General features: G+C 34.4%; 1 protein-coding gene across 2 annotated transcripts; it reads right to left on the bottom strand.

Moving 5' to 3' along the window:
* Positions 1-377: 377 nt before the first annotated feature.
* AMY2A (amylase alpha 2A) lies at positions 378-9,507 on the bottom strand. 2 transcript variants are annotated; one of them, XM_047418085.1, is made up of 11 exons: positions 9,341-9,507; positions 8,550-8,763; positions 8,058-8,204; positions 7,050-7,247; positions 6,374-6,604; positions 5,474-5,607; positions 4,459-4,581; positions 4,265-4,364; positions 2,174-2,292; positions 1,937-2,062; positions 378-601 (listed from the first exon to the last, which is right to left on the bottom strand). In XM_047418085.1, exons 2-11 carry the CDS (start codon positions 8,715-8,717, stop codon positions 412-414), a joined length of 1,536 nt encoding a protein of 511 aa, XP_047274041.1. In that variant the 5' UTR covers positions 8,718-8,763; positions 9,341-9,507; the 3' UTR covers positions 378-411. The 2 variants fall into 2 exon arrangements, with proteins under 2 accessions (XP_047274041.1, NP_000690.1); NM_000699.4 differs by lacking the exon at positions 9,341-9,507 and having other exon boundaries at positions 8,550-8,731.
* Between the last annotated feature and the right edge of the window lie 396 nt (positions 9,508-9,903).

Raw genomic sequence — 9,903 nt, 5'->3', positions numbered from 1 at the left:
TATGGAAAAAGGAATGTTTTGAAACCAATGTAAGGGTAAAATTTGGTTTTCTTTCCCTTGTACAGATTTTTCATGTAATAGAGAAGAATAATGAAATATTTGGTTTGCCTTGTTGGTAGACTGCCAAGGAGAGAAAAGAGTAGACAGGAGACAGACTGTTTGGAAAGCTAAGTCTTCCCTCTTAATGAGTAAAGGTTGTTGCCTAGTTTTAAAATTTCTGAGACATCCTTTTGCCAAAATAAATAACTTCTGTGTAACCTGGAATTGTGTTTCACACTATCAACTTTTTTGAACCTCTAATTACTAATTAGAGCTTTTAGTAAAAATTAATGAAATATAAGTACTGCTGTACATGTAAGAAAAGAAACACACTTGGCTATTGTTTTGAGGACATGCATTTAATTTTAAATTTTACAATTTAGATTCAGCATGAATTGCAATAAATGGATCTTCAGCAGAGTTACTAATAGAAAAATGAGCTTTGCCATCATCAGAAACGTAAATTTTAATGCCTGTGCAATTGCCATTAATTTTATCTCCAGAAATGACATCACAGTATGTGCCAGCAGGAAGACCAGTTTGCAAAGTTAAAGAAAATGACCTGTAAAATAAAATTTAAGGTTGATCTTCAATACAATGAAAATCAAGAATACAGACTAACACAAATAAACAGCATAACTTTATGTTGTAGAAACAAACCTAAGCAGTGAAGTCTTATTAAGAAGAAAACCCATATGCCTCTCTAGTAGGTGGAAATAGCTTTCTAGGACCAAAAGTAACCTTACAGAAAACCTAGCAATTTCCTGGTTAGTAGTGAAAATATTACCAAAACATCAAAGTTGAAGAATATCACTGAAGATTGGCAGGAACGGTCACACTTTGATAAAAGTTCTACCTTGGTAAAATCAAATTTGTTCTCAACTGAAATTAATACCAATTACTCTTAAAAATTTAAAGGGTATTATTTTTTAACCTCCTTCTTCTCCCATGAGATCAAAACGAATTTGGGATGCACATAAAAATAATCTAGCATTTCTATGAAGAAGTGATAGTTTGAAATATAAAGCTTTTTCACAAAAACTTATTTTGGTATTTTCATCTACAAAAGAAAGAAATTAAAAAACTAGACATGGGCTTTTTTGGCAGGAAAGAGATCAACTTGACTTGTATATTGATGTATTTATTTACTTTTCATCAGTGAAATATAATTTATACTAGAGTGAGCTAAGTATGAGTGTCAGTTGGTCTTGGACAGGGACAATTCAACTGTTTACACCAAGGTCTTCTGAGCTATATCTTAGATAATCATTTATGCTTCAGGTAAAGCATATAAGAATCACAGATGAAAGGCCAATAATGAGAAGTTTCAAAAATAAAACTCAAATCTCCTGAAGCAAAACAGTAACCACAAGATACATATTATTCATACATGTGCTTTAAAAATGTTATTTGTCACAAGGAGACAGAGAAGTGAAGAAAGTGTACCAAAAAACTACGTAGAGCAGTCATTGAGAAAAAGAGTTAGAAATAAAGATATTTTAGTACCTAGGCAGCATTTCTCCATGGTTAAAAAAGCAGGATTATAAGACACTTTTTTTTAATGATTTCACAATCCTTATATTGATTGTGATTTTATATATTGATTTTGTGGCATGTGTAGGTGAGCATATGCATGTGCATCATATATATGCATATGATACTGCAAGGGTGCACAGAAAGGATTCTGCTTACAACAGAAAGCACTTATGAAAAAAAAAGAACGAAGGAGTAACAGCCATCATCCTTTTGCTTCTGCCCAATTTTGATCTCTATTGTCTTCTTGCTCCACTGACTACATGATTTTTCAGATATGATAAAAGTCAATGAACAGAGAAAAAAAAGAATAAACCAAGAACATACTGGTACAAAATATTATTTTTAATTGATATTTACTTACCAGTCATCATTGTTGAAAACAATGAATCCTCTGTTTCCTCTCCCAAAAGCCACTTGGTTGCTCCCATTATCATACCAATTTGTAAAAGGCTGGCCATCCACTACATTGCGGAAAATAACCATGTTCCTAAAAACACAATACCATATAAAACGTTGATATTCTTAAACTTCAACTGTTTTAAATAAAATGCAGTGGAAAGTTTACTATTAGAGGACATGTCTAAATACATATTCTCACCTTATTTGGCGCCATCGATGTTCACAGACCCAGTCATTGCCACAAGTAGTGTCTGGATTAATAGTAACTTCTTTAATTACTCCATTATTATTTGGTGGCCCAACCCAATCATTAACATCCTTAAGTAGGGGGGAAAAAGCCAAATTTTACTATGCATGTATTTACCTCTTCCTTCTCCTTTACACCAAACCCAACCAATCCTGTTACTTGTGTCTCTGCATTCAGTGACTTTATCTAGAATCCAATGCCTTCATTAATGTTTATAGCCCTTTACTGGGTCTTCATCATCTCTCTATCCTCTGGTTTTCTTCTGGCATATTTCAAACAAGGTAACAAATTTTTATCCTCTCCTTTTCATTCCAAAGAACTGCAAAGGCTTCTTTGCTCTGTCACCCAGGCTGGAGTACAGTGGCATGATCATAGCTCACTGCAGCCTTGATCTCCCAGGCTCAAGCGATCCTCCTATCTCAGCCTCCTAAGTAGCTAAGACTGTTGGTGTGCACCACCGCAACCAGCTAATTTTTAAAAAATTTTCAGTAAAGACGAGGTCTTGCTAGCTTGCCCAGATAGGTCTTGAACTCCTCAGGTCAGCTGATCTTCTCGCCTCGCCTCACTAGGTGCTGGGATTACAGGTGTGAGCCACTGCACCTGGCCTGCAAGAGCTTCTTAACATCGTGGTAAGCCATGCAATGTCATTGAAATGGGAAGGGCATTAGTACTAGAAACACCAGGATTAAAACATAGGCTCTATTACTAGTACCTGAGAAAATTTAATCAATACACTTAATATCTCTGTGTCTCAGTTTCTTCATTTGTAAAATGGGAATATTGGTTTTTTTGCTATAAAAATTAAGTAATATATGTGAAAATGCCTTGAATGTGACATGTGCTGAATAAATATTAGAATCATTCATGCTTCTTTTTAGATAAATGTACAAAACAATACATCTGAACATTATTTATAAATTGACCACATTTTTCATATTATGGTTTTCTGATTGGCACTTTAAAAAATCTTCATTAAAAAATCCAGAGGAATCTTAGGAAGTTTTTCAGTGTTGACCTTAGAATCATGTCATATGGTGAAAAGTGAACAAAACTAAGAGTTTTTAGCATGCAGCAGTCCTGGCAAAGTGGAAATGTTATAGTAATAGAAAAAATAAAAATACTCTATGACTCCTAACATCAGAAATAAGACCAATTAGTAGAAATTAAAAGAAGTTGGCTCAATATAAAAGTACACCTTCTAAATATTAAAGCTGTTTAACAATAGAATAAATTGCTATACAAAGTGCGGACTTCTCAAACTGAAAGGAATCTAAAAAAAGCTAGCTAGATATCCGTGTGACTCATAGGAAGGAGGAATTTCTGCTTTAGTTCTGAAGTCTCTGATGCTGTTTCTGAACCCTTTAGTTTAAAAGAAAACCTTCTACTAGCTTTCCAAATATCTTTACACTGTAATTTCTCTGTTCCTTTTTGAAACTTCTCATCAGATTAATGTCTTTACCATACTCCCAAATATTTTTCTCATTCTTACCTTTCTTGGAATACTCTCTAAATTTCTATTCTTTAGTACATATCATTTCCTTCCTCTTATATGATACTTTCCCTATTTAACTCAGCTCAATTGATTCATTTCTTTCTATTCCATATAACTTTTTAAAAGTATTTAACAAACATTTATATTGTTCTCACTACGGGCAGATGATGTTTTAAGTTCTCTAAAAGTGTTGGCATGTATAATCTTCCTATCAGCCCTGAGGTAGGTACTTATTCGAAGTATATATTTTAATCCCTGTGTCTAGCTCTTAGTTTTGAGTGTTTTTCTGTTTTTTGTTTTTTGTTTCCCTGCGGGCTAAGGGGATGTTTGTCATATCTCTGAAACAGCTTGCATACTCTTTGTCAATGGAGAATATAAATTTTACTCCTTTAATATAACCTACATTACTAAAATCACAGCCCTGTATCCAGTTTACAATCAATTAAATATTTGTTGAATAAATATATAATTAATAGTTGTCATGTTAAGTTAGAATAAGATTGCTTCCTTTTTCTTCAGAAAAGGATATATTGAACAACTCCAAAACTTACGTTTCCATTTTGAAACTGTCTTGGCCAACGGTAGCTTGACATTACTCGTGTAAATCCGTAAGGATGAGCAAGCATAAATCCAACTGCCATTTTGTACAGCCTGGAAGTTACATAATTATATTTTCATAGGATGTCAGAATATTCTTGCCATCATTAAAAGACGTGTTAAAAAAATAGAGAACTTGGTTTTCTACCTAGCATCCCAGAAGGTAAGAATAGAGGCTCCTCCAGCCCCATGTCCTCGTTGATTGTCATGGTTATCCACAAAGACAAGCGCTCTGTCAGAAGGTACGAAACCCCAACCTTCTCCCCAGTTCCTATTTTTGAAAAATAAGATATACGTTGATGTATCATTTCACAACAGTTTGAGAGTAACTTAACTGTGCATCTCTCTCTGTAAGGCATGGCATCTGAAGATTAAATTCTTTCTCTAATTAAATGCTTTTCCTGTAAGAGATATATATATATATACACACACAAACACACACACACATATATATACACACACATCAAACACACACACATGTGTAATCTACATGTATGGTCCATATTTGTATATACATGTATGGAATACTTACATTCATATTACAAATATAAGATTTTTGTTATTAAAAAAGGTCCTTTCAGAGGTTTCAGCACATTATCATTTAGAGGCACTCCAGAAGGATCAATATCCATATCACATTATACAGAATTCTCTTCCCCACAACAATATTCATGTGCCTAGACCAAGAAGTTTAATCTAGTTTAATCAAACTAGACCAATCTAGTTTAATCAAACTAGATTAAAATAAGGCTTCAATACTGTATTGTTATAATATAAATATTTTTTATATTTTTAATTCATATAATACATGTAAATTCTACAGGATGGAAACTTTGTACATACTTCATAAATGATAGGATCATTTTAATAATAACCTGGCTTTAAAAGATTATATGCAAACATCAGTCAAATCCAGTATATTCATCTCGTACTTAGATGAAAACTCCTAGGGTATGTTTAGCGTTCCTAGACATATTGCCTTGTGACAGACACTCTAAATACAAAAGATGATTGATTAGAGTTTAGGGCACTAGAATACTTATCATTCACAATTGACTCTTTGATAGTTGTCTGAATAAGAATGTTCCAGAAGATAAGTCACACTGAGGTAGTATGACTAATAGATCCATGAAATACTTCAGGGAAAAGTTGTATTTATTTACTTTAAGTAAGACATCTTCTCTCCATTCCACTTGCGAATAACTGTGCCGAGTTTTGCACCATACTTGAATTCTGTCACCCGGCCATTACCAAAGTAGTCACTGCTTTTAATTGGCTCACCACCCAGATCAATTACCTAGTAGAAATTTAGGAAACAATAACATTTTGTGTAAGGACTTTAAAGCATTTTAACCAATAAGTTAATATTATATAAAAATAGCTTTATGCTATTTGTTATTTATTAATAAATTAAGCTATTTATTATTTCTTTTTGTCTTGTTTTGTTTTGTTTTTTAGAGACAGGGTCTTGCTATGTCGTCCAGGATGGTCCCAAACTCCTGGCCTCAAGCAATCCCCCTGCCGCAGCCTCCCAAAGTGCTGAGATTACATGCACGAGCCACCATGCCTGGTCCTGTTTGTTACACGAAATGTGCAAAATGGTTTTCTTATTCCTATTATCTCAACAGGTAATATTCTTATATTCTTTTATTTGATAAAGTATAGGCTACAATATTGAAAGAAGCATAATGTCAAAGATACCTGTTGTCCTGTGAAAATACTTACCTAATTTTTAGTCTTCTACATCAATGATAATAATAAGAGCTCACACTAATAAAACATTTAGTATCGACTGAAATTCCTTGATAAATATTAACTTGTTTCATTATCCAAAGAAAGTAAAGACATAACTATTATCAGTATCCTACATTCTGTGTACCTCCATAAAACATGTTGTGATAAAGAATTAGATATGCTGTATGTGAAGAAGAGGAGGTTAAAGAACACTGTTTTATGTAAATGTCTCATTCCTTATCCTACAGAAATTGCATTTTTAATTAAATCTTCCATTAATTTTCTAACGAATAAGATGATATTTTATAGGCATATAAGTATTGATGTACCTCCTGGTAAATGAAAGGTTTACTTCCTGCAGGGAACCAGTTACTGTTTAGATTATGCAGTTTGTCCAAAATTGCCTTTATGTCTCCAGGCCACATGTGCTTGGAAGCATCAAGTCTGAACCCTGCAACACCAATGTCAATGAGATGGTTCATATATTCGGCAATCTTAGAACGCACGTAATCCTTCTCCAGTGCAAGATCAAGAAGACCAGTCAGACGACAATCTCTGACCTGTTGAGGTAAAAATGTTATGATTGATTCATAAAACCTCATTTTTCTCCTGAGAATCCATTGGATTATTCATTTATTCCATGATTCCTCAAGAGATATTCTATAGTGACTTCCTTGCATTGGGCACTGGGGATGCTCACATTCTACTACAGATGTATCTTTGAAATATTTTCTAATAGAAAATAGAGAATTTAGGAAATAAAGTCGATGAGATTTTTAATTGGGAACTTCTTAGAAGTGGGCAAATGTGTATTGATTAAAAATCTTAAATCAATATTTGAAAGTTCTTAAATATGGATTTGAGTTTCTTAAAGTAGTCAAACTTGTTAACTTCTGTCCCTAAGAGATCTAAATTCCTATTTTAAATGAAATTCAATTAGCTACATGTCTACAAGAAAAGGCATATATTACTCTTTTATTCAGATCACTCTCGTAAAAAAATTACCTGAGTAGCATCATTGTAGTTCTCGATATCTCCACTTCCAGTTTTACATTTACCATCATTGAAATCCCATCCAGAATATGGGACTGCTGGAAAGTCCCTACTTCCAGGGTTGAAGTAACTTCCACAGGTACTGCTTGTTCCTGCACTCACAGCGTTACCACACATATGATTAATTACAGCATCCACATAAATACGAACCTAGAAAACAAAGTTTCTACTTCAGTGTGACTTACAGAGAGGTAGAAATTTAAAGCATTATTGATGCAAGTTTATAGTATGTTAATAAAACTCCAAAATATTTCATGATATCTTATAATTATTTTCCTACAAGATCAAAAATCAACTGTGAAAGGAAAGTAATGTGAACTAAACACCTACATGCCTTCTAGACACTTGGTCAAATATTTATAGGAATGATAAATTGAGAGACCAGAAACTACCATAAATAGGAGGAAATGCAAAAAGCCCACTTTGGGAAGACAAAACTCAGATGAGAGTGGAAAGGTTATTGTTTTGGAAATTTCAGTGGGTCACCAGGAGAAAGCCTGTACTCTCTATGAAGCTTTTGAAGACAAACAAGGTAGCTATTAATCTCAATTTATGCTCCTCATTAAATAGAGAAGCTAGCTATTCACCATGAAAAACCCAAGAATTACGGATGGAGACACAAGTCACCTAAAAATGATAGCAAACATTGTAACTGGAATTATACTTCCTAACCAGTAAATTGTTTCCGGGAAATACGAACAGTTATAAGGGTTAAAATTTGATGTTTTGCTTTAGAAGCAAATTCTGATTTAAACTTTAACTTACCTCTTTAGTAGATAGCACACACACAAATATTCACAAAAGTTGAACATAAATAAACAGTTAATTTTGAGTTTTAAATTATGAAGTAAAATTAAAAAAATAAAATACGGAAAATTTTCTGCTGAAAAGGAGCAAGAAAGAAGAGAGAGAAACCATTTTCCTGTCTGTTATTTTTAAAGGAAACTAGAATTCACTTACCCCAACATTGTTACATCTAGTCACCATGTTTCTAAATTCATCTTCATTTCCAGATCTTGTGCATAATTTATAGCTAACTGGTTGGTATCTTTCCCACCAAGGTCTGAAAGGGTTGTAAATTGCAACATTTTCATTTGGTGGAGAGACCTACAAATTAAACAGTCTTCATAAGTACCAAATTCTGTCTTACTGTGTATCATTGAATGTTCTAGAAACTAATCAATAGTATAAAAGATTCTTGAATCTTGGTATAGGCAGCTATCTCTTGAAAATATTAACAGCACATTGGAGGGCTCTTGGTGAAGAAAGATTATCTCAGAAACAAAATATAAAGTTGCCAAGAATACTACATAGATTTTCCCTCAGAAATCTCTTTTACTTAGAATACTTACCTGTGAAGTAAAATGTTGCCCAAGCTTCACAGATAAGATCAGAATACTATTTCCTACAAGCACAGTGAATTCCGCAATTGATACTATGAATCATACCCACCTGAACCCCTCCAAATCCCTTCGGAGCTAAATATCGCTCACATTCAAGAGCAATATCAACCCATCGCCATTCAAACAGATGAACAATAGATGTCCGTCCTTGTTGTGTATTTGGGGAATACTGAGCCCAGCAGAACCCAATGGTGAAAAGCAACAGAAAGAACTTCATTTTGCTTTGAAGTTGTCAGTGTCCTTTCCAGAAACTATTTATATTCCTGTAAGAAGCACATTTTACAAAGTAAATATTAGCATGAATAAATACTTGAGGGCAAACTGTTTATTCATAATCTGAAAAGGATTATCAATAATAATCCTAACAGGTAAAGAACATCAAAAAGTCTCTCATGGAAATCATCTAAATGACCTTTTAGATATTAATGTTTTTCTTAGGTTCTGGCAGCACTTTTATTTTTCCTTAAACAGTGACCTGTTGCTGGGGCCTAATGTTCTCACATAACAGTAGAAAACCAAAATTTGTTGTCATCTCTTTAAAGATCCAGAATGGCATACAAAAAAACTTTACATAAATTAAAAGGATGAATACTTTTACAGGTATAAATGCGAACCCCTTCCAACTCAAGGTAAGTAACAGCCCACGGTGCTCTGGTAGATAACGTAAGCTAAGAAAGGAAACTGGGTCCTATGGCTTGGACTTTCCAACCCTGACAGACTGACAGGACAGAAACAAGTGGTCCAGAAGCCCTTACCAGCCTCTAGACAAATCCCAGAACACTCAGCCCTGACACATTAATACCCTGTACAGATCAGAGACTGCTGGCCGCACAGACTCACCGAGCCAGACTGGTCTTCCACAAGCATGTTTTTAGCCATGAAGTGACCAAGCCACGTGTAGTAAAGACTGAAATCAAAGATATGTACAGATACCAAGGGCAACAGTTAACTTGAATACAAGGTCAAAATCAGCAACACATTCTACAATCCAGTGCTGATATTGAGAGGAGACAAAGACCCTCTCCTTGTTTTATATTGTTTTCTATTCAGTAAAAACAACCAGGAAGTACAACCAAAGACATGCAGCCCAGCGCCAGGCCTGAAACCAGGCCTGGGCCTGATTGGCCTAAACCCAGTAGCTAAAAATCAACTTATGATTTAGAAGCTGATATTATTCACAGATTCCAGACATTGTATAAAAGAACTCTGTGAAACTCCCTGCCCTGTTCTGTTTCTCCCTGACCAGCAGTGAATGTAGTCCTTGTCACGTATCCCTTGCTTGCTCAAATCAATCACGACCCTTTCATGTGAAATCTTTAGTGTTGTGAGCCCTTAAAAAGGACAGAAATTGTGCACTCCGGGAGCTCAGATTTTGAGACAGTAGCTGGCCGATGCTCCCAGCT

This window comes from Homo sapiens, chromosome 1 (assembly GCF_000001405.40).
Source record: "Homo sapiens chromosome 1, GRCh38.p14 Primary Assembly".
Lineage (NCBI taxonomy): Eukaryota > Metazoa > Chordata > Mammalia > Primates > Hominidae > Homo > Homo sapiens.
Note: the sequence above shows the minus strand (reverse complement) of the source record. Positions and strands in the feature narration are given on the sequence as shown.

Coding starts and splice junctions, on each gene's coding strand:
- AMY2A (XM_047418085.1), bottom strand. CDS start 8,717: ATGAAGTTCTTTCTGTTGCTTTTCACCATTGGGTTCTGCTGGGCTCAG. Junction 6,605..7,049: donor ACTACAATGATGCTACTCAG/GTAATTTTTTTA, acceptor TTACCTCAACAG/GTCAGAGATTGTCGTCTGAC. Junction 4,582..5,473: donor GAGAAGATGTCTTACTTAAA/GTAAATAAATAC, acceptor TTTCAAAAATAG/GAACTGGGGAGAAGGTTGGG.